Source organism: Homo sapiens, chromosome 2 (assembly GCF_000001405.40).
Source record: "Homo sapiens chromosome 2, GRCh38.p14 Primary Assembly".
Classification (NCBI taxonomy): Eukaryota; Metazoa; Chordata; class Mammalia; order Primates; family Hominidae; genus Homo; species Homo sapiens.
The window spans coordinates 142,089,772-142,116,120 of record NC_000002.12 but is presented as its reverse complement, the minus strand read 5'-3'; the positions used below and the strand labels follow the sequence as shown (position 1 = coordinate 142,116,120).

Genomic DNA, 26,349 nt, shown 5'->3' with positions numbered 1-26,349 from the left:
CCCAGGCTCTTGAGTAGCTGGGACTACAGGCATATGCAACCGCACCCAGATAATTTTTGTATTTTTAGTAGAGATAGACATTTCACCATGTTGGCCGCCTGCTCCCACACTCCTGACCTCAAATGATTCACCCGCCTTGGCCTCCCAAAGTGCTGGGATTACAGGTATAAGCTACTGTGCCCAGATGCATTCTTTCTACTATAGGTTTATTAATTGGAATGCTTCTCTAAGGAAGAGCTGTCACTTCCCCCATATATATATATATGTATATATATATATTACATATATATGATATATATTACATATATATGATATATATTACATATATATGATATATATTACATATATATGATATATATTACATATATATAATATATATATTACATATATATTATATATATATTACATATATATTATATATATATTACATATATATTATATATATATTACATATATATATTACATATAATATATATATTACATATATAATATATATATTACATATATATAATATATATTACATATATAATATATATATTACATATATAATATATATTACATATATAATATATATATTACATATGTAATATATATATTATATATGTAATATATAATATATATTATATATAATTATATATTATATGTATGTAATATATATATATAGGTATAGACTCACAGATATTTTATTTTATTTTTTGTGATATAATCTAGTACTATCACTGTTTATTTTCTCACTCAAATTGTTCCACCTTTGGCCACTGGGAGCTCTTTCAGTTTGCCTCCTCTACCCTTTGACATATCTTCAACCTTTTTTGAGCGCTTTCTTATTTTCTAACACTGCCAGATGTTCCAAGCTCATCTTGTATTTTTTTTTCTCTGTTTGCAGCCTGGAATCAATCACTTCTCTAAAGCATTTCATAGGATGTTGAAATTTTACAGACTTCTAACTGAATGCACTCTCTTAAGTATCATAAGGTTATCTTAAAGGTGATAACCAATTGCAAGAACAATTCCTCCGTTAATATGTTTTACTGTTCCAAAAGAAATCATTTTGCTCATTACCTTATGTATTTCTATTTTTAATTTTTATGGATTCATAGAAGCTGTACATATTTATGGACACGTCATATTTTGATACAAATATACAATGTGTAATGATTGAAACTGGGTAATTGGGATTTTTATCACCTCAAACATTTATTATTTCTTTTTGTTGTCAACATTCCAAATCTTTCACTTTGAAATGTACAATAAATTATTAACTATAGTCACCCTATTGTGCTATCAAACACCAGATCTTTTTCTGTCTATCTAAATGTATGTTGTAATCATTAACCAGCTACTCTTCATTTCCCACCCTAGCACACCTTTCCCGGGCTTCAGTATCTATTGCTCTACTCTCTACCTTCATGAACTCCCACATATAAGTAATAACATGTGATACTTGCCTTTTTGGGCCTGGCTTATTTCCCTTTGTTTAATGCCCCCCAGTTCCATCTATGTTGCTGTAAATGACAGAATTGTATTATTTTTCATGACCGAATAATATTTCATTGTGTATATGTACCACATTTTGTTTATCCATTCATCTTGATAGATACTTAGGTTGATTTCATATCTTGGCTGTTATGAATAGTGCTGCAATAAAAATAGTGGCACAGATATCTCTTTGATATGCTGATTTCTTTTCTTTTAGATATATACTCTGCAGTGGGGTTGCTGGACTAGAACTGTTCAATACTTTAATTTTAATATTCACTGCAATAATTGATTATATGCTGACTAAAATTCTGAATTACTATGATTACTTCTTATGATGCTCCTTAAGGCATTTGAAATCCACTGTTTTCAAAGTTTCTGAGGAAAAATATAGATACGTTTTATAAAACAGACTACTGCATATTGATCATTTTTAGGGAAATCTGTGTTAGGTATGTTGACTTAAAAAGAAGCATAAGCAAGTCATATAAAAGACAATAGCAAAGGATTTGATCAGAACTGGGAGGTAAGACACTGGGTCTATAAGGATTCTATATCTTGGCTTGCAGAAGGGAGTGCATAGATAAGTAGATGCTAGATATAGTGAATGGGTTTAATGTTTCGGACCAGTCATGACCAATTGGTGGTGGCTGTTCATACTGCTCTATAGAAAGAGATCCTATACTGAGTCTGGATTCATTGGTAAAGGGCATTGTTATCAGTTAGTGATGTTTCCAGTGATCACAGCTGGAGGACTGTGTATAGAAGTTTGAGTATCTGGCCTGCTTAGTTACCATTTCTGGTTGAGTTAGCACAATAAGAGGCTCTAGTAATTATCACTGAAAAGGATGGTGCCTGTCCATGATCCAGAATTCCCAATGAACTAACTGGTAAAATCCCAGCTAATGGAACAAGCATTGCTTTGAATAAAAACAAGTGTCCAGAATCTTCTTGAAAGGCCTAGGATCTCCACTGTTTCAATGTACACACGTATTTATTTATTTAGTTAGTTAGTTTTGTTTTTAGTGCTGCTTCACCATGAACACAACATTGTTGTGTTCTTTTTGTTTTAAAATTTCTGGTGGCTGATGAGACCTTGTTCTACATGATCATTTCCACTTTCTCCTAACTTTGAAGCTACATTTTTTTTTTTGTGGCAACTGTAAAGGTTACTCCTAACCTCATTCTCTAAAAACTCTGATTCTTCTTAGATATTTGTATATATCCAGTTTTAATGAGGTATTGCTTAAAAATTATAGATATGGAATTACTAATCTGACAATTAGTTTAACTTCTGATAATAGCTCTAGTAAGGTAGTGAGAAACAGAGCTAGCTGGAAAGTAATGTAACACCCATATTGAATTTTTAACAACTTAATACATTTTAGGAAATGATCCTTCTGAAAGGCATTATGGCTTGCTGAGAAAAGCTGTACACTGGGAACCAAGAGAAGTGGGCTTGATTCCCAGCTCTGCATCTGACTCACTCTTTGTCCTTGGGCAAGTCACTTAGCCTCTCTCTGTGTCTATTTCCTGTCTTGTAAAATCAGGAGAATAATGCATAAAGCCTCCCACCTTACCAAGATATGTTGAGGCTGCATTCTATAACCACCAGGGGGAAGAAAGATTCCTTTCTTTCTGGTGGTTAAGTACCAACTTATTTTTATTAGCATCTAGTTAGATTAAATTTTGCAATAAGAGAATGGAATTACAAATAACTTCAAAGAGTCCTTTAATCCATGACTTTACACTGGAATTTTATTGCAACACACATTGCTTTGTGTTAATACACCCATTGGCTAGCAAGAGGCTTTGAGAGTCTTGTGTGTACATACATATTCAATGCCTCAATCTATTTGAGTACCTACTATAGAGTCTTGTACTGAGCACATCAGAACCAATTCGAAGAGTAGAAGATAGAATCCTGGGGAGAAGAGGCTTAAACACCAGAAACAATTAGAGAACGCCATCTAGAAATATTTATTCAAAAATGTTATTGTCAAGATTCTAGTTTAGACAATGAGGAAATCAATGTAGTCTGGAAAATCACAGAGCAATGCCATGCAATAGATGGAACAAATGCCTCTGATTTTATGACATCTTCCATGATTCCTCCAGTAAAACTCATCTTCTTTATTTCCCTCCCGAATTTGATAGCTCATTTTACATTTTTCCAATTTTCTCTATCTTTTATGGCTTTTTAAAACATTTTTTTCCTTTTAACTACTACATAATCATGGATCACACATTATATTTGGTTGTTCTTTTTCTTAATTCTCCTTTTATAATGAATTGTAGTCCCTCCCTATTTTTTACATGAGTTTGACCTTTTGAAATGATTCCGTCACTTATAGAATATTCAATGTTCTGAATTTGCTCTGACTTTCTCATTATTTTATCTATCTTTGTCCTCTATAACTGATATTTTCTGTAAACTAGATATTAGATCTATCGCCTAGACTAGAGTAAGGTTGAGCATTTCTGGGCGGAATGTTTTCTGGGTGGTGTTAGGCATCTGTATATTAATAACTGTGATGTAAGTTATCGGTACATGTACTAGTAGAATTCATAGCATAGATGGAAAGGCACCTTGATGTAATGCTTTGCAGCTTCTGCTTTGCTACCATACTCAGTGGCAATATGGTGTATCATTGTATAAGAAAAGACTGCACTTATATAGCACTGTGACCTCTGATCAATTACATTATCTCTTCAAGTTTATATTTTCTTATCTATAAAATGGGGATAATGATACCTAGTATACATTATTCTTTTGAAGTTTTGAGATAATACCTGTTTTTTGCACTCAATTAAAGGAAGTTTATTAGTAGCAGTATTAGTAATAATGTTTGTTATAATAGTAGTAGTCAGTCATATAGTCCTGTGTGATGAAAATATTTAAGACTGGCATGGATTCCACAAACAGAACAGCAATGCTATTCATATCAGAATCCCCACTGTAACAGATGGAATTTACCTGTTTGTTTGCTTGTTTGGTTGTTTAATATGCCACCATGTGGTATGATTTAAATGGAGGATATCATCTTTAAATCCTTTTCAGGATGAATCAGGTTATAAAAATCCAATAAAGAAGTTAAAACATTATTCATGGACAAAAGGCTCTCTCAAGACTCTCATGTTTCTTTGCCCCATGATCATGTTTTGCTTCCTATACTTGAATGCAAGGAGAGAAATGTATGCGCAGGATCCAGGAGCCTACACTTGAGCTGTTCCCAGTAATTTACAAAACACACATTAGGGTTGAGGTAATGAGATTAAGTTTTAAAGTCAGTCTGCTTGTCCTCAAATGCAGGCTTTATCACTTGTTAGCTGTATAACACTGGCCATGATACACAATCTCCCTGAACCTTTGCGCACCTCTTTGCAAAAAAGCTCAAAGGGATGTTGTGAGTATAGAACAGATTTATAAAACTCCAACTCAAAGTGACTTCCTAACACACACTAAGCATTATTGTAGTTTTATTATTACATACATACTTTTCTGGATCTCCAGTTTTGCCCACAGTGGGCAGTTATTAATGCTTAGAAATCAGTGAAGTTTAGAATAGGAGAGATCAGGGCTGCTGCAAGGTCTGTGCACTGCACAAAGGAACTACATATAAAAACTGAAAGGAGGAGTGACATCCACATTGCATTCTATTTATCAAACTATGTGCCCTAATCCAGGGTTGCATTTGTCCAAAGTTGCCTTTTTCTAATTAGCACAAAAGTGCCATATAGACTATTGCTGCCATAGATGGATATCTAAGCAGAGGGAATTGCAGGAACAAAATTAGTGAAGAAAAAGAGAACCAATTTACAATAGGTTGTTCATCATGATACAGTAAATATAAGATGAACTCCTGAAGAGTGAGATATGTAGGAGATGTCCTTTATAATCTGGTGAACCCAAGGTGGGCTTTAAAAATAGTTCCTAAAAGAAATCATTAACAATTGTATGAATATAATTAATGAACTCCTTTATTATCAAAGGAAAGATCCTTGTTGCAGAAAATACTTCAGTATAGATTCTCATATTTTCTCCTTAGATTAGTCATTCAAAATGTAATTTATTTTTTCCTCAGATAGTTTAAAATGACATTTTTGCTACATTAGAACTGAGGGTTTCTCCCACTACTTATTAACTTATTGGTGGCCCCTCAAATCATGACTGCTCTCTTGCTGCGTGTCCTGTGAGGATCCACCGCCATGTTGAATCTGAAAATATCAAGACTAAATTACTGGCAATCTGGAATACTTTTCTGATCTTGGTAGTATTATTTCAGATAGCTTTTTTTAAATTTTATCAGTTAAAAATAAAGATTTTTCTGATTTTCATTATATCTTTTCACCATGCAGGGCTTTTACATTTGCCTTATAAATAAACAGGTATGGAGAAAAGGACCATCTATTTTACTTTTTATGCTCCATAAGTACCACTTTACTTCTTGAAAAAAGAGGAATTTTTATTCCAGGAAGAATGATGGGCTTGTATAACATCAAGTACATGTTCAATGCTTCTAAGTGATAAATTTACATAAAGGATAGTTTGCTTTCTCATCAGAGTCTCTACATTAAAGATTTTCTGTCGGAAAATCAGAATGAAGACTAAAATCAAGGCTTAGGTTTGTCTCTTTTAATACTACACATATCATTCTATACAGCTTTTGAAAACAACCAAACCAAGCATCACTTTTAAATGTTGACACTGTACTTTGCTGATGCTATTATTTTCTCTTCAGGTAAGGGGCCTGTGAGGAATGCTTAATGCATGTATTATTTTCCTCCTCATTGGGAAAAACTCCCGTTTAAATAAAATAATCCTGAAATTTAAAACAACATGTTTTATTACTTTTGTCTTTTGAAAACCAAACATGTTACACTTTTGGTTTCATGCAAAGCAATTAAAACCAGTAATTTTAGACAAATATGTACAATGTTAATCTTGGCCTTCCTTTAACTAAAGGGGCATAATTTATTAGAGTGTGCTGATATTTGAAAATTCTTTATTTCTGATAAATTCATAGGTATTCTCAAAATTATTTTTAATAATTGGAAGAATATCATTTCTTAAAATAAGCATTGCTTACAGTAACAACACAGAACTGCTATCAGAAGTACCCAAGTTATGTTATTTTGTTTTTGCTCTTACATTTTCTTGGTAAATTCAAGCCTTGTTCTAATGTTGTAAAAATAGGAGAAAAAGAAATTAAAACATTTCTAGGGTGTTCAAGTGAGTTAACATCATAACCACCAATTGTCAGCAGGCTTTGGGGAGCCAGCAGGGAGCCATGTTTACCTGACATAATGGATGTGTGATCACGGAACTCATTAAGCTATAACAATCTTTGGGAAACCGTTGTTCCCCTCCCAAAGTCCACTCTAAATGTCCTTTTTCCTAGTCCACTGAGGTCCATAATGTTTATAAGGTCATCATGTTCTTTTTGTTGTTGTTAGTCTCTTTAAGTTGATCTTCACATGTAACAGAATTCTGTCAAATGAAAATTGAGATATTTGTCTCTGAAAAATACATTTTCAAGTAAGACACCACTTTAGGCTCACTAGAAAAGTTCTTGGATAAGCATAATTCCTGTGACCAATGGTCCTGAAATAATAAGGCACCCCAGCACTTGAAATACTCAGTTGTCTTTACCTGACGTCAGTTGGGCAAAATATACAAGTGATCTGACTTTAGTGACCTTGGTGAATAAATTCTACAGAGCAAATTTTAGCTGAAGGCTGGAGACAAAAATATAACTAGGTCTCAGGTGTGTGGAGCAATGTGAGTATCTATAGGATTCTTTTGTCCCTTTTTACTTGTGTTGTGTCTTATATAAGATAATCGTAAGTGATAGAAAACTTATGTAAATATGTACTAATGGCAAATTAAAGAGCACGCTTGAAAAATAATTTTAAAAATCCTCCATCCACTTGGTAGTGAAAGCAAAACTGTTGAATGTCCAAGCCTCCTCAGTCAGCTTTGTCAGTATTCAATCATTTAATCCTTTAGTTCTTCAGATTTTCATGAAGCCTATATTTCACATGAAAGCAAATATAGGATATTAGAACAATAGTGCCATGAAATAATTATTAAAAAGGCAAAGACTCTAAAAATGGAAATTCTTTGTCATTCAGTGACGGACTTTTCTTTTCCCATGAGAGAGGATAGTAGTCAATAACATTGACAACCTATGCCTTAGTGGTTTTTTTATTGAACATCTATTGATTAATTACTTGCAAATTACACTCTTAGTGGATAACACGAAAAGACTGATCCTATAGATTTTTTAAGCTAATTTTAAATTTTGGATTGCTATTTCCCATGGAATTGAAACATATAGAAGCTTATTTGAGAAAAATAATTTAGCATAACGGTAGAGCTCTAAAATCATAGGAAAGATTTATTTCAGAGAACATGTCTGCTTTATTATTTATGGAGAGTTCCCTATAAATTCATTTTTATATTTGAGTCATCTCATATATTATATATAATTTTTAAAGAGATTTATATTTGATTTTCAGAAATGTGTTAGGAAACTTTTTGGAGCCATTAAGATATATCTGTAGCCCTAAGTACCCAAACTATAAGAACTTTGTCTGAAAATTATAATAGCAGAATGAAGAAAATTATGAACATATATGACATAAGCTCTTATGAAAAATTATATAATATAAATATATATAATTCATTGAATCCACTGGGCATGGTGGTTCATGTCTATAATCCCAGCACTTTGGGAGGCCGAGGTGGGCGGATCACTTGAGGTCAGGAGTTCAAGACCAGCCAAGCCAACACGGTGAAACCCTGTCTCTACTAAAAATACAAAAAAAAAAAAAAAAAAAAAAATTAGCTAGGCGTGGTGGTGGGTGCCTGTAATCCCAGCTACTCAGGGGGCTGAGACAGGAGAATCGCTTGAACCCAGGAGGCGGAGGTTGCAATGAGCCGAGATTGTGCCACTGCGCTTCAGCCTGGGAAACAGAGCGAGACTCTGTCTCAAAACAACAAAACAAAACAAAACAAAAGACACATTATTGAATGCCTATATGAGACAGACTAAGAACAACTGTCTTAGCCCATTTTATGGTGTTGAAACAAAAACGTTGAGACTAGGTGACTTATAAAAAACAGATAATTTCTGGAGGCTTGGATGTCCAATATTAAGGTGTCAGCATCTGGTGGGGCCCTTTTGCTGCGTCAGCCCATAGCAGAAGGCAGAGGTGCAAAAGAAAAAGGACAGAAGGGGACCAAACTCATCCTTTTATCAGCAACCCACTCCTGTGATAACTAACTCATTCTCACAATAGCCACATTAATCCATCAACGAGGGCAGAACCCTTATGACCTAATCACCTCTTAAGGTTCCACCTCTCTACAACATTGCATTGGGAATTAAGTTTCTAATATATAAACTTTAGGGGACACATTTAAAACATAGCATCAACCTTTTTGAGCAGTATAATTTTATTTTAACCCAGAAACTGTTGTAATAAATAGAACTTGTTTTTAAATGTCAATTTTTATATTGTGAAATATATCAACATTTTTTCTCATCTCACAGAATTAAACAACTAAGCAGAACTCACTCATAAAATGCACTTATAATTAAGGCAAAAAACATATGAATTTTATATATACATTTTTGTCTTAAATATGAAGCTTTATATTAAATATGTATAATGTTATAATTATTTTTATAACATATGCCTTTATGCTCATGTATATTTGTCCCATTAATTATTTTAGCTAAATGAGAGCTAACATGTGATCACATAAAAATGTCATTAATTTTTTAAAAAGCAGGATACAATAATTGTTGCATAGCATTGCCTAGATATGAGACATAATATAACCTTCAACTTTTAAAAATTTTGTATTGTTATCAGATTTTTCAAGGTCATCATTATTACCACTGATTATTATACTCTAGACTTTGTCTTAACCTCATATTAAATTGCTCCAGCATTTTTGGGTGAGGTGTGGGGAGGCAAGAGGATGTTTGCAGTGGGCAATGGCATATTCCAAGTGACAAAAAAGGAAATATTTTAAAATCTGATATATTTTATATCTTAATGACATAGAATTTATAATGGAGTATAGATTGGCCCTGAAGCCAAAGATTTAGGTTTGTGTTCAGGCTTTTTATTCTACTATTTTCTAGTGGAGAAACTCTGAACAAGTCACTTAATTTCTTCAAAACTGAGATTTTGTATCTGCAAAATGTAACTAATTACAGCTTATGACATGAGGTTGTTTCAAAATTGAATAAGATAATGAAAGTGCTTTACAAATTTTGCAGCACTTTACAGAATTAAAACTTAATTATTCCACAATAGTAATAATCAAAGTCACTTAACTTTTGTGATTTTAAAAAATTATCCAATTTTGCAATCTTTATTTCTTTTGTTTAATTCTTGTTTCCTTAACTTGCTTCTATAGATGGCAGGAAAATTTAACTGAAGGACAAATTCATTATTTCAAAAACACTTCTTACAGATATACTAAATAAAATTGTACTTTGAAAAATGTGTGAATGACACTATAATGAAAAATCATAGCTAAGGCTGCAGAGTAAAGCAAGTGTGGTAGACATAGGGCTTGAGAAGAGCAGGGAGTATGTGTACCAGTAATCCAGCAGTTCATTGTTTTGTGGTGTTAAATGCCGTAAGAAAAGTAGAGATGAAATACTGTGAAACTTCAACTTTCATTGTTTATAAACCTAAGTACTTTTAGAAAACAGGGTTAAATGATATTTTATCTAATTTAGACTTACATTATCAGAGGAGTATACAACCTTAAGGAACATGTAAATTTAGACATTATTATTTAAAATAAATTTCCTACTAAAATACGTATATTAATAATTGAAGTATAAACAAAAAAGAATCACTGCTAGGTAGTGGAATTAATTTAAAATCTAGACCCTGAAGAAGTTTTCAAAATATAAACAGAGTTTTGGTTTGTTTTAAAAAATACAAATCTTCAGTGCTAATTAATTTTCTCTACAAATCTGCAAGCTTGGACCAATTAAATCATTTTAGCTGATCTCCTTGTGAACCATATGTTTATCAGCTTAAGACTGATAACTAATTCATCAACCATAAGCAGAAAATTCCATAGAAAATAGTCATTTCAATCTGTGATTTTTCCAAAATTCTACATTTTGTGAACTATACAGCCATGTAAGAGTTAACAGTGAAAAGTATGATATTAGCCATATCTAGCCCTATTTAATGGGATGTGTCAATGAGAAATGACACATCATTGTTGTTAAAGCCAGAGGTAGATATGTATACAATTTTGTTAATTGAAAAGAACTAGGATGTCCAATCCATTTGGCACCCTGAAATTAGAATGACCTTTTTAGAAACCCAAAGAGATCTGTCTAAAACTCTTTAATGGTTTTCAGTTGCTTTTAGAATAAAATGAAACGTTCCTTGGCAGGACATCTGGGGATAGTGATGACCTATAATTTGCTCTCCTTTTTGGTTTCACCTCCATTCAGGTTTGTTCAGTAGCCTTTCCCGCCTTTGCACCTCAGCCAATGATGCACATCAGCCTATGAGCCTCCTTCCCTCACAGTGTTTGCCAACAAGTGCTGTGATTGTTGTCCAGTGCTGACATTTTTTCTCTTAGACTGTGAACTCCTTGAGGGTAGTGAGTATATTTCATTTCTATATCTGATGTGTAGTGTCTGGAACATGTTAGGACATTTGAGACAGATGAATAAATGTAACCAAAGATCTTCACAACTGGTCTTGAAGAAAATTGATTGGAGAGCTTCTGATAGGTAAAGACAATATGAAGCTCTTCAGATGTTTACATAAAGAAGACATGAGTTGTTTACTGCTCGCATTTTTAAGGCTTGGTTAAGTATAAGGCTGAGAAAATGTTTCAGAAAATATGTGGTTACTATTTCCTGGAATGAGACCCAAGTAAAGTAACTCTGGTGAGCTGAAGAGAGACAGGTTTTGACTACACTGCAGCCTATTAGAAGCTCCAATGCAAACACAGTACTAATGAGTTAAGTGCAAAGCAGAATGTCAAAAAAATACCTTTATGATTCTGCATTGTATCAAACTTATCTCCATCTTATATAAACACTCACAGGACTCAATCCAATATTTGGAAAATGGCCAGCTTTAAAGAAACTATTTGGAGCATTGGTTTCAGGCCAATCTTTGCTAAATCAAAGGGTGCCAGTTTCCTTCATGCCAAACAGCACAATAAACCCCTCTGCAAAAGGAATAAAGACTGCTGAGAAATAACTGATGAGGCTTTTAATGTCAATAAATGTCATTTTATGCATCAGTATTGTGAGAGCTTCCTTTTCACAAGTGGAAGATGGATTTTATAAACTCTCCCGTAAAAGAATGGGGATTTAGAGTTGGCATTAGTAGACCTGTAATAAAACAAATCCTTCCTTCCAGTTCCCCTTGAAGTGAAGAATAGCACTTGAACTTCTCATTTGGTAATATGTGGATTATAGATATCCCTCTTCCGCACCACTAAGGTGTGTGTCATCTTTTTTCTACGTTCATAAATATCCTCTTGGAAGAAAAAGGAAGTGGAAAAGAATTGAAAAATTGTCTTTTGGCTTCATTAGATGTTGCTTGATTAAAGATTTGGAAGGTACTGTGAAAATACATTTAGTTTTCTGACAATCTTGTAAATGAAGCTCAACAAGTATGCACCAGAGTACTGATCAGACACTTGTGAGGAAGGTTTTACACAGCTGACACGTTCTGCTAATGAATCCTGGATTGGCACAATATTTAATTTGGCTTTTTCTTATACACGGTAGGTAAGAATCAGCCAATAGTATGAGGTCAGAAATGCCATTTATTTAGCATATTGTCCTTATTGCATTTTGTGATATATTCTAGCTTAAAATATTCTGCTATTCTGAATATATTTAATTCATGAAAAATCATTGGGTCATCTTTTACAAGATTAGAATGTTAAATGGTATTTGGGAAAGACAAAAATGCCCTTTTGTCATTTCATTGTTTGGCCAAGACTTCTTTCTTTTTTATTTTTTAACTGCAAAATTTGTACATTACAAGTGACTAGTCAGCTTCCTTGGTGACTGCCAAAAACTAATAAACACTTTAAACTCAAAGTGTGTCCTTTCACATACCAAAGAACATAAAGGTTAGAGTTAGGTTTCTTTATTAAGGAAAAAGTGATTATAAGAATGCCCATTATAAAACTAGGCTCATCACAGAGAGAAAAAAATGATAAACAGTAGCTTTTATATTCAAAGGACAATTGATAGACTTGTATATATACATTGAGTTAACAGTTTGGTCTTATGGGTTCTCAGGGACTAAAGCTAATGCATAATAAGAAAAGAAGTTTATGCAAATAATTTACTAAATTAATTTACACAAATTAATCTCATAATTTAATATGAATAATTTGCATGATTATTTTAATCTAGATGAAAATTAAGGTTGATAAAGTATAATGTGGATAACTTGTTAGCAAAATCCTTCAAATACTAAAATATGTAATATTTAAAATAGCAAAAACATTACTTAACCCTTTGATTTTTACAAATCTTAAAGTAGTGAGACTTAGCAGGAAAATTCTGCTCACCCAAATACAAAGTCACCTTCACACTAGAGGATCATGTTTATCCTTTCTTCATGATTAAGAAAGAAAAATTATATTTATACAGTGATACCTAGAAGACAAAGCCCAGAAATTCAAGGAGTAATTAAAATAGTGCTTAACCAACCACCAAATTATTCTTAGTTATTTTTGTCCACATTAATTATATTTTAAAAGGTAAGATTTTTAGCTTTTAAAATGTGAACACTTAGTTTTTGCTAATATTTTTATTTTGTTATGGTTATGAGTTTTTGCATTATACCTGACTTGGACACATAGAATAAATTTAGGGAGACAATTTTTTTATATATGTAAAGTATCTGATTCTGTTTTCTAGATCTTCCATGACCCAATTTTGTGGCACGAGTTTCATAGCAAAAGATTTGCATTCTAACTTTTATTTTCAGTAGCCAAATTATGAATCCACATTTTCTTTAAGTAATTTTAAGAATGTAATTACTTTTTTATTTTTTTATTTTATTTTAATTTTTTCACCTTTGCCTCCCAGTGTAATTCATTTTAGATACTTTCAAAATACTTATATCAGCAGTTTCATTCTTTCCTAGGTTCCTAGGAGATAGGAACCTAGCCCTGACATTTGTCTCCAAAGGAATGGCTGCCAGATCTTAAGTGAATTTGTCTGATACAAACTCAAGTTTAATACAAAGAAGTACTCAATAGAGGAATCGTCATGTTTTCTTTTGTGTGTGTGTGTGTCTGTGTCATTTTCAGGCATTTAATGAGGAATTAGAGGAGATTTGTGATTGGGGTACAAATTGGTTCACAATGCATGTGGCTGTAACATGCATAAGGCTAATGTTTTGAGACGCTGCTTTAGACTTTAAAATGCATTTTCAAATACAGTTCAACAGCCAGTAAGTGTTAAAGCACTGCAGAGAGAGACTAGAATTCAGATCTTGCAATGTCTACGTCTTTTGTTTTCTCACTATACTATCATAATGTAGCATCCCAGAGAGACTACATTAATACTTAATAAAATGTAGTGATATGACGATAAAGCACTATCAGAGTTTTATTATTTAACATCTCAGAACTAAAAGAACCATGTAAGTTTTCTCTCTCCATACTATCTCAGAGCCAATGGGAGGCTAAAAGCTTGTTCAAGTAATGGTTTATGTTCTCAGAACATTTTTGGAATTCTTATTTTGGAATGCCTTCAGAGCCTACGGCATTTTCTATTAAACGTGATACTTTCATATCTTGATTTCTAAAATATAACCCTAATTTTTAAAAATAATCAGAAACCATATAAAGTTAAGATCTCTGAATGAAGTGAGTGATTAGACTTGTCATTTTGGTTTTGACTTTCAAAGTTTGAGCCTGATTTTTTAAGTGATAGGTTGTGTCTAAAGGTAATTCTAGAAGAAACAGTTAAAAATAGTTTTCTTAATAGCATCAATACAATATTAAACTTCCAATCTATGTCTACCTTAAGTAATAGCTTCATTTGGAGTCTTTAGGACTGTAAGAGTCATCTAGAATCCTATATCATCAGGATATATGAATATATGTTTTATATCTGAATATGTCTAACATATGCAAAATATGTCAAACATTTGCTTTATATCAAAATATACGTAACATATGCAGAGAGATAGACATACTAACATGTCTTATATTCCATTTTTATTAAGTGTGAGTGTGGCCAGCTTCAGTCCAAATCATGTAGATCACCTGTGTAACTCACATGTTACCTAAACTTTTCCCAAAGCAATAACTTTTTTTACTATGTGAATGATTATGAAGTTGCATTTGAGAGTGTTTAATTGCCAACCTACAATGCCAAGGATATCCAGCCTGGCTGTGGTCCAAATCACCAGAGCAATCACCACTGTTTGAGAATGAATCAGCCTACAGTTGATCCTTTATTCCTTTATGTACAAACTCTGCAGCCTGTTAGCACACTTATTTCTACCTTTCCCTCTAGTTCACTCACAAAAACAGCAAGTGGGGAGAGCTCAATCAGGAGAAAAACAATTTTAAAATAATTGTACCTGTGCGATATGATTTATTTGATTGAGAACTCCTCTTTCCCTCTCTTCCTTTCTCTTTCTTTTCCTTGTCCCCTTCCTCCTTCCCTCTCTCCCTTCATCTTTGAGTTCCTCTGTTCTCAAAGCAAAAGGAAGGGGAAACGTGTGTGGGGACAAGGAGCCCTTAAAAGAAGAAAGCTAAATTTGAAATAGCTTGAAAACAACCCAGATCAATCTATCAGTTTAATTTTATTATCATCTTAAAGAATCCTTAAAGCAGCTTGGTTATTATCATCAGGATTTCTTCACTGGTTTGAAAGGTGAATTGTTAATGACTCATTTACAGAGGTATGCAGTTTTCTTTTATTTTTCACTTACAATTATCTTCACTTGTTTTAAAATGCAATCTGGCCTCCAAAATGTATTGTAGTCATTCATTATTTCTGTCAATTATAGTTTCTAAATCACAGAGTTAAAATGAATCATAAATAAGCATTAATTGATTTCAGTCACTGAATGCCCACTTCCCAAAGAAATGAAAGGGGCAGAATTTACTTTTGAAAATCTGCTTTCCTTGGCAGCTGGAGCACTGGGGCTCAGCAGATGTTAGTTTCTAAAAGCTGGTATTCACTTCAGGAACTGACTCTGGATGTTGGTGTTGCTTCTCCCCAAGGAATAAAATGTTGACAGAGTGGTGTCAACGCTAATGGATTTTTGACTGCAGTAATGGTAACTTCATAGAGCATTGGTGCTCTCCAAGCATTGCAGCGTGATGCCTTGGGCCCCCTGATATCTCACGGAGAAGCCACTTACTTGTATAAACAACAAACCCTACACTTCCTTCCAGGTTTCAAACGTAGATCTAATTTTAGATGGGTAATACAAAACCAAGTATCCTTAAATTTAGTGTAAAAAATACAATGCTCTTATCAAGGAAAATGAATGTTTATAAATGTAGAAAACCCCACTTACAGTCATTGTGGCAACATTTGCATTGTTTGTGAAATTAGAATCAACAATTTCTTTGATATAAAGATGAAAATTCTATTGTGAACCAGGCTCTATTACAATTGACATCTTTCTAACACTTAGAATCCAGGTTACTATTCCAGGAGGGGTGTTCTAATGAGGTTGTTGCCATAGAAACTTTCCAATCATTGATGTACTTTTTACTATGGGTAATTTAAATGCTATGGGAAATTTAGAATTTTAAAATTATTTAGAAACAGAACTAATTCTGAGGGGTACTATATTATTCTTTTATCTAAAATAAGGCACTTGAGCAAACTAATTATTTTGAAGATTGAAGAAAGGGGTTTATTATTACCACTTGATGTCTAAGCCTAAGAATGAAGGCCAAGAGAAGAATTTGGTCTGGCAAATGCAATTTGTCAATAGAGATGCAGTGTTAGAAAATCTAAATGACCATTAGTTCGATTTGGGATTGCGAATACTTAAAATAGCATGAACGATTTTTATATAACATGGGATAAATAAGCTTCTGAAGGAAATATAGAGAAGGTGCCTTTCTTATCATAAATTATCAATTAATTTTATCAAATTGGTTTGAAATTTAAGTGGAAAATATTTTATCCTCCAACTCATGTTAATATTGTAATGATAATATCTGTCTGCAATGTTACGTAAAGGACTTTGTATAAAATAGGTTTGTAGCCTTTTGAAAATTTATTGCCTCCTGGTCATCATTTTAAACTACTGTTGCAATTAGATTATAAACTCTTTGAAGGTAAAGCCCACTGGGACAGTGGCCACCAAGGGAAGAATGTATATTGAAATATCTCAGTAAGATCAAGGAATCACGTTTAATTTGGTTTTACACATGCATTGCTGTTGAATAATGAGTTTTCCCAGCATTACAGATGTGAAATATGACAGAAGATTAGATGAAGTGTACATTATGTACTGGATATCAACTTGTGCCATTCTCATTTTTATTCTATATGAATAATGTTTTCAGGCAGAAATGCACCAAGTTATTGCCTGAGAGTTAGTTGCCTGTCCATTTATTGAAGAATCATTGATACTGTCAAGAGTCAATGCTGTATGTGCAGAGGAGAAAATTGAGTTCTAATTTAGGAACAACTCCTCAAATTAACAAAAGTGAATTATCTAATTTTGAAATTGTGTCTTTTGAAAATGATCAGTAGTGTTGCTTAGAAAACATTTCTGCTTTGATTTCTCATTTATCCATGGCTTAGTCCATTGAGATTTCTCAGAATAACGTGAGGCATCAAGTCAATTAAGGTTAACTTTAAGTTTAAGATTGAATTTACATTTTATCTCAATATGTTATGCATCTATTTATTCTGGCTCTACTGTTCTGAATGATAATAATGTAAAGAGCAATTTCATTTATTTTATTACCTTTGTTTCTGTTACATACAATGAAATCAGACTTCTTAAAATGTAGAATTCAGATTTTATTTATTCTATATTTTGTTTTGCAATGAAGTCCTAAAATTGAAAATGGGTACACATTTGGGTATTTTTATGGATAGTAAAACATGTTCTCTAATTCGAAAACGAATTAAAGAGCCATTTAAAAAATCTCCAAAGCAGACAGTTTCCAGTAATATCTACTTCTAAGTAATTTCTGAAACTACAGCACAGACTTAGCAATTCAAATATATATTTTTAATGCAACATTACACTTTGAAGTATTGTAAACATTTTTGAATATTTATAAATGAATTTATTTTATTTAAAAGCATCAACAAAGATTTAAGATTCAGTAATGTCTAAATGTATTTGGCACTCTTGATAATGTCCCCCAAAGCACTGGAAATTTTTGTTGAAAACATATTTTCTGGATCCAATCTCCAGCAAATTTCTTTCTTCCTTCACCTTTTAGCAGGTAACTGTTAGTGTGGTGCTGTGTGGTAGAGGAATATGGGCTGAAAAATAACCACACACTCTTCATTTCCTGGCATTATTAGAGGTCTGTAAAAGACAGCTGGATTTTCTCTAGCTTATTCTTGTTCTTCAAAACATTAAAAAGTGAGAGCATTTATACAAGAAAGAATATTAGACTTTGATGCTTCATTTTCAGAGGAGACTTGTAAGAAGCAAAAGTGACATCATGTGATTTATTCTCATGACACGATTGTAAAGGGAGCCAAGACCTATAAAAACTCAATCTGTTGTCGATACATTATTTACATGTGTACACCATGTCTTACTTATTCTGAATGCCATATTTAAAAAAATGAGTGCTTCAGAATTGGAATATAGACTCTTTATATCGAGCTAGATTCAACTTTAAACAAGTAACTTCTAACTTCTTAGTTTGATGGCAATTACATGGTTTTAAAATGTACTTTCTTATTTTTGTGGTAGCATATTTTTTCAGTAGATAGCTCTGTGTATGCTGACATTAAATCATTTTGCTGTCCTTCAAAATACATACTAGCTCACTTAAGTTTTAAAATGTGGAGATCTATTTAGCTGTACATTTCATGTCTTTCAATTGAAAAGCACCATATATGATTTTCTAAATAATTTTAAAGTCAAGTAATCTACCTTAAAATTTTAATTGCTAAAAAATTTAATTGCTATTCCAAATAGTACACAAAAGTAAACTGTTGCTTCTTTTTTTTGCACATGTATTATATCATAAAATTAAATGCAATGCTTTCTTTATAAATACAAATACATGTAATTTCCTTTCTCATATTTGAAATAGGTCAAGAGCATTTGACTAAAGAATCATGGACCTATATTATTTTAAAAGTAAGAAAGAAAGGCTTTACAAGGAAATCCAGTTTTCAACGATTATTGTTTTCACCATATATGTGTGAAGGTTTTCTTATGAAATAGGTAATTTTTGATGTTATGCATAAAGAATCATCCCTCAAAGTGCTTACATTCTAATAGAGGAGTTGCAAGTATTAGGAATCCCAGTTGTGTACCAGGCAAAATAAATACAGCAGGACTGTTGGTAAACCGGGGTTTTTTTTTTGCAATGATAATTACAGCAAACTGTAGACTGTGATAGTCCAGTGGACTGTCTAAATATACAAATAGACACTTATAAGGATCAGCGATTATAAAGTCACTCCATCAGATTTTGGAACTAAACATTAAGTACTCATGGTCATGAAGATGTCAACAATAGAAACTGGGGACTTCTAGAGGGGAGAAAGGGAGAGGAGAAAGGGTTAAAAAACTATTAGGTACTATGCTCAGTACCTGGGTGATGGGGTCATGCATACCCCAAACTTCATCATTATGCAATATACCAGGTAACAAATGCACACATGCACCTTCTGAATTTAAAATACAAGTTTAATAAATAAATAAAATAGAAGTTTACATCTGCTATCTTCCATGACTTTGTAAGGCCTCTGTGGAATAGGTAATGTAGAGCTGACAAACTTATGTGTAAATGAGATAATATAAACATTTAGTTTCATAGCCAATAATTAGATTGAATTTTGTATTCAAGATCTTTTTGTCTCCATCATAGTAGGAGGCCTATGGATCATTTAGTGGAACAAATAGATTCACCATAAAGGTAAATGCCTATAGTTATAATTAATATCACATTGGAAGAATAGAATTTGTAAAAAAAAAAAAATACAATTTATTTTCGTGGTCATGTGAATAATGAAAGTGACAGCTTTACCTTGCTCCCTGGATTAACATGAATGTACTCAGGACATTCTACTTCTGCTTTGGTTTACTTTAAACTCCTTTTCTGCCTTCATCTGTAAAAATGAAGAGATTGTTATCTGGGTAAACACTGTTACCGAGTCTTAGTGTGACTGAGAACAAGGAGGCTGGATTCTTTGATTGGCCCATCAATATCCCACAAAACTGATAAATTTCTCCCTTAATATCATTTATATATCCTCTGCATAAAACTAAATAAAAGAAGTCTGTAGAACTCTGTGAACTTCTGCAAAAGAGGATGTCAGTATAATACAAATGTTATTTATTTGGGTTTAGAAGGAATAAGTCTGGAACACAAAAAATAGTTAAGTGGACTAAGACCTGGCACCCACACTGAATTCCAGTTAATGTCACCTTGGTTTTCACAATTGTTGACATATAGGACTATTCACCAGGAATTGAATGGAACTACAAACTAATTTCATATCGGATCCTGAGCGATCTTGACATAGTAATGTCTTTTGTTTTTTGGGGTTGGATTTTAATCCAAAAATGCTATCCTCAGCAATTTAGCAATAAACCTAGGGGTTTTCTAATCTCCTTGTAAAAATAATCACATTATACATGGTTGAAGATGTAGCATTGCATATATTAAACATTAAATGTTAGCATTAACTAAACTCCTTTCCAGTTCAAAAAAATACATGTTGAAAAAGGTATTTTCTTACTTCAAAAAGGGAAAATTTGGGACCTGAATAAACTTAGAAGCCACTGGAGTACAGTTTAAGGCCAGAGGTAGTAATTAACTCAGGCCTATATAACCCTATGGGTACTCTCAGAATATTTAAGTCATTGGTTAAATATGACCCATCTGTATGGTCATTTTAGATATTGATTTCTTCTTAAATATAATGAAAAAAATTAAAGGATACACACATGCACACACTTAGGTTAAATGGTTGTTTATGTAAACTATACCAGATATTTTAAGTACTTAATGATTATTAGGGAACTATAAACTATGGAGTCTACTGAACTACTTACTCCCTTGAAATCAATTTACTTACAGTAATAGCATATCACAGGTTCTTATTAAGGGACTTTTTAAAAACTAGAAGGTGCTAAAGAGTATACCGTAGTATAATACACATTTGGTAACTTATACTCTTGTGCATTGCTTCACATCTTGCTAAAAACATATACACATCCCATTGTGGATATGTTCTAAAATATAGGGGTCCATCTGCTGATTTAAAAAAAAAAAAGCTTTTTTATATGTGCATATCGCACCTATTTTTTGTTGCTCTCTGTGAACAGAAAACTATTTTTTTATTTTGCTATTTGAAATTTACATATTCTAACTAACCACAGTACCTAAAGTTTGGCTAACTTGGTTAATTCACATAGATGCTACAAATATTCATTGTACTTTAGCAGCATTTTGGTATACATAAGATGGAAGATACATGGCATCTGAGAGAATATTTTTACTCTTGAACTATTTTCTCCTATTTTCAGTTATCGATTCACTTATCCAATTATAAAATTGTAGCCCTGAAAGGAAACTGACTTTAAGTGCTAACGAAATTTATTACTAAATATTTATTACTAAATATTTGAATATATTTGGTTTCATTTATTATATTTAGTTATATTTAATATATAAGTTAAGATGAAGAGACTGAAACCTAGAGAAGTGAATTATTTTCTAGAACACAGGGTTGTGTCAAAATCAGGACAGAAAGTCATTTTTAAGCTTCATTGAATCTTTTATTAATTCAATTTAACAATCATTTTAGTTTTTACAGCATTTAACTAATAATATTATACCCTAAAATAAGCATGATGTGCTTATTTCTTTCTATGTTTATAGAACTGATTCTTTTTGCAAGCAGTGCTGTCACTTAACAAATTTGTAACAAGAACCCTTCGCTATAGCTATACATCAGTTGAAGTATTTTACAACTGCATGAGGCCAAGTGGCCCCTCAAAATGCTGACCTTGCATAATCCATTACCGTCTTATACTTTATCTTTGTGGATTCCAAATAAAGCTGGGTTGAACATTAAAGCCAGCTTCACACATTAAGTCATAATCAAAAAAACACCAGCCTTACAGCCAAAAGTTATTGAAAAGGAATTTAAATCATTACCTCAGTGCTATAACCTGAATATTTGTGATACCCAGAATCCATACATTTAAATCTAGTCTCCTATATGATAGTGTTAAAAGGTGGGCCTTTGGCAGGTGATTAAGTCACGGCAGTGGAGCTGTCATGAATGAGATTAGTGCCCTTATAAAAGGGACACAGAAAGCTAAATGACCCTTTCCAACATGTGAGGACATAGAAGATGACATCTATGAATTGGAAGATGTCTCTCAGCAGACAACATCTGCTGGCACCTTGATCTTGGAATTCCCAGCCTCTAGGTTGTGAGAAATAAGTTTCTGTTGCTTATAAGCCACCCATTTTATGGCATTTTTGTTATAGCAGTTCAAATAAACTAAGGCAGCTAAGTCTCTTGAAAAATTATAAAAGGAGAAGTGTATTGCCTGCACCATATCTTCTTGAAAGCCACTTTTAAATTCTTCCCACACTCTAAGTAGAAATTGATCACTTGCATCTATGACTGCTCTATAACCTTATCTTTTTTTCTTTTGCTAAACTCCTCAAGATCTTTATCTTTAATGCAGCTGTCACACAGGTTTACTCTTTTACACACACCTCTGTGCATCTAAAACCCACGCACATGCACACTTTCTTGGAAATCCGGTTTACTCCCTCTGATGGCTTCTTCTGTGTCCACTGCCTTGCCTTTCTGGTTTTCTAGTACTAGGTCACACATTCAATGGATATGTGATGTGGACTATAAGGAGAGGGGGACATTTTCACTACTGTATTTTATCTTGCCTATCACGTTTATTCCCTTTGCCTTTTCAAGAGAACGTGGTGATCTTAAAATAGAAAGGAGCTAACTCTCCATTCCTTGCACCCCAAGTGTTAAATCAAAGTAAGATAAAGGTTAATTTTTTGTGATAGCTTATATAAAACATTATTTCACACATTTTGTGGTCAGTAAAAGTGATGCTGCCCTCAAGGAACATAAAAAACAGCGAACTAGGAATTGGGGGAAGGCGAGAAGGAAAAATTGGCCTTGTTCTCAGGAAACTCATAGTTCGCTAGGAAAGTTAAAATGGATAATATAATTCTACACAATGTTAGTTTTAATTACTGTAGAAAAATGTAGACATGATGACAAGATGGAGAAAGACTTCAAAGCAATCGTCACTTTGGGTGATGAAAAAAATTGAATTATGCCTTATAGAATGTGAAAGTACCAGACAGGAGACTTTGGAGGTACTGAAAAAAGTGGAGCATGGATTTGTAGATGGGAGATCACGCAGGGTCTATGTACCTGGGCTTTACTCTTCTATGTGATTTTGGTGTTCTTAGGCTGTAGATGGTATATTTCAGGATCTTTATTTTGTTACACATATTTTGAAGAAAAACGTGGAAAACTTATGATGGTGATTTTGCAGAAAAATAATTTAAATCCAGAAATTCACAAGGAAAACTGAAAATAGAATTACTCAGATTAGAAATTGTTGTTAATATCTATTTTAGTGGAAAACTTAATCAGATTTTACCATCTCATATAAACAGAACTCTGGATACACAGAGTTTTTTTCACTGAACTATTATTTTCCTACCATTAAAACCTATATAATATGTAGTAAGAGTCCCATACAAAAACACACACACACACACACACAAATCTCCTTACAAATTTACCCCAACTCTCAAATGGATCAGATCGCAATACTTTTAATCCACTCCTATGTTGTTCCCACTGCTGTACCTAGAAAGCATTGGATTTCTTGTATTTGTTTCTACCATATCTATTAATTTTAAAAAGCAATTTCCTTATGAGCTATTTTTCCACAAAGTTATGGACCTTGAGGGCAATGTTCAGAAATGTTCTTGAGGAATTATCATGAAGTAGTCACATCAACAAATAACCACTGTACATAATACAAATGAAAATACTAATATGCCAAAAAAATCCAAAAACTAGCAATTTTTTTAAAATGTAGGCTTAGTTACCTGGCAGAAAGTACATATTTTTAAACAAACAATTTATAAGAATTTATTAAATTACAACCAATTCACTAGGTACTTCCTCTGAACTAAGAAACCCAAATATTAGATACATGTAACAGAAACCCCTATTCACCATGCCATAAGCAAAGAAAAAATATTAAGTTATCATAGAAAACAAGATACCTGGATGAAATCAGCGTGGAGATGGCACAGGGGTTCTGTGGTGACCCACAATCATTCTGTTTGCTTGCTCTGCCATTGTCAGTGAGTGTTCGTCCTCTTGTTTTTCACCCGCTGGCAGCAAGATGGTTGTCATAGGTTTAGATAGCTTCTCTACTCAAAGTAGAAAAAAGGAAAGAAGGGATGCCAGAAGGAAATTGTCTAGGGTAGCTCTCTCCTTTTATGTGGAAGGAAAAATTTCTAGAAATCTTTCATCGATTTTCTGCTAATATTCCATTGATCAAAATTGGGTCACATGCTCATCCGTAGCTGCAAGAGAGGCTAAAAAGAGAATTTCTGGAAAGGGTGAGTATGCTAGTCATGACTTTCTTAGACCAATTATGATACGTCTTTTGGGCTTAACACATTGTCTACCTGAACAAAAACAGAGTTTTACTTTGAAGAAAGAAGTGTCTATGGTGAGTATTAGTGGCATGCTGTAGGGGCAAGGAATTAACTAATAGGGGTTTTCACATATAGAAAGAAATCTAGCCATCTTCTTATAGTTAACAATTGCATATTTGGATCCTGATTTCACTCACATCTTTAAACTCAAATCCAAATGTTCTTTCCATAATACCTGAGCAGTTTTGAAGGAGAGCTTGGAAGTTTTTCTTCAGGTTTTAGCTATACTTCTAAGAAGTATAATTTTCAGCCCTTAGTTACCTTCCAAATTTAAAAAAATAAAAGCCAATTTTATTTTTTATTATATGAGACATACAGAGAAGTCCAGATTCAAAGGAGTCACTAACAGCACCTATCACATCACAAAATGATGATGGAGTATTTTCCAATCTCAATCTCATTGTTTTCTTTAAACACTTCAGCTGCAGCATGTAAATACTTTTGCCAAAGTCTAAAAAATGAGTTCGTCTCTGAAAATAGAAGTTGTAGATAAATATGAAATATTTATACTTCATTTTAAAGATGAGCAGTCTTCTTATTCAGTTTTTTGCTTAAAGAACAGGTAATTACAGAAGTTTCTCTAATTCAGGCAGATTTTATCTACTTAGTGATTAATCAAAAAATCATTAGTCTCTCTCATAACCAATGAGAGAAATTTTCAAAGAAATCCATATGGAATTTTTGGCCTTCTGTACAAAGTTATTGCAATCATATATTTTCTTTAAGGAAGACCAGTTGCAGTAGAACAAATTATTATTTTAAATTAAAAATTGTATTTTTAATGAATTAACATTTAGCATATCCTGATATTTAGCTTCTCATATTAGTGCATTTTGCACATAACTGAACTGTAATAATAGCCTGGAAACTATATATCCACTTAAAATTCTGGAAAGGTAAAATTTTTAGAAGATGAAATTTCCCCTAGAGGCTAAGAGTAAGTTAGGAACAGGAATTCCAGGTGGATAGTACTTTGTATTGCTAGTTCATTTTTCATTCTGTCAACTTGCATATTCTTGTTTCATAGTTTCATATGATTCATATAAATAATTCACACACTTAGTTCAAAATGTGGAAATAATTGGTGAGAGATTATTTGGAGTATTTTTGTTTCCAGCGTTGTATACATCTGTAAATTGAAGTCTTGAATATTTTTTAAAACATTGGGTTCTCATTATCTTTCCTGTGTATAATTATTTTCATCTCTGTACCCACAATGTTTGTATGATTTACAGCTGCAATATAATTGTGATAGAGAAGAGAGAGTATTGCGGTTGAGATGGAGAAGACTTTTTCATCTGTAAAATGGCAGTGCAAATAGCTAAATTACAAGGTTGTTATGAGAGATATAACATAGGTGAAGAGTATGTATCTGATCCTCATATAAACTTGAAATTTGGTTATTATCATTATTGTTTACTGGTGATAAAACCAAGCCTCATAATTATGTTTATAAATATTACATATGAATAATAACCTTTTAAAGGCATTTGAAATTATATTTTCAACTTTGCTCCATTTCTTATAAAGACTAATATTTTTAATGAGTGAGTGGCTGATAAAATCATGCTGTAATGTTTTTAATATAATATGAAAAGAGAAATTGTTAAAATGTACATATTTTATCATTATCCACATAGATGCCAAACACATCTGACACTTTACTTTTTTTCTGACAGCAACTCAAAATAAACATTTTTGGATATATGATGAAGCTACTCATGTGATATGCAATCAAAGCATACCTGCCTATGAGAGATAAAACCAAAACTGGATAATATCAAAAGCCAAGTAATACAAGAAAGCCCTCTTCTCATCAAGAATATATCAAAATATATTCTTAAACATGTTATGAGCTCTTAACTAGGCTTAAACTTTGCAATTTTCATTATTCCAGTTAAATTTAA

At 32.6% G+C, this 26,349-nt stretch overlaps 1 protein-coding gene across 3 annotated transcripts in view; it reads left to right on the top strand.

The window, feature by feature from the left end:
• LRP1B (LDL receptor related protein 1B) overlaps positions 1–26,349 on the top strand; it is a 1,899,594-nt gene that overhangs the window by 14,896 nt on the left and 1,858,349 nt on the right. The window contains exon 1 of one of the 3 annotated variants that reach the window (XM_017004341.2): positions 673–7,261. The exons of the other annotated variants lie outside the window; for them this stretch is intronic. The gene's annotated coding sequence lies outside the window, so the exon portion shown is untranslated. Of the gene's footprint in view, positions 1–672; positions 7,262–26,349 lie in introns of those variants that run through there. 3 annotated transcript variants of the gene reach the window in all.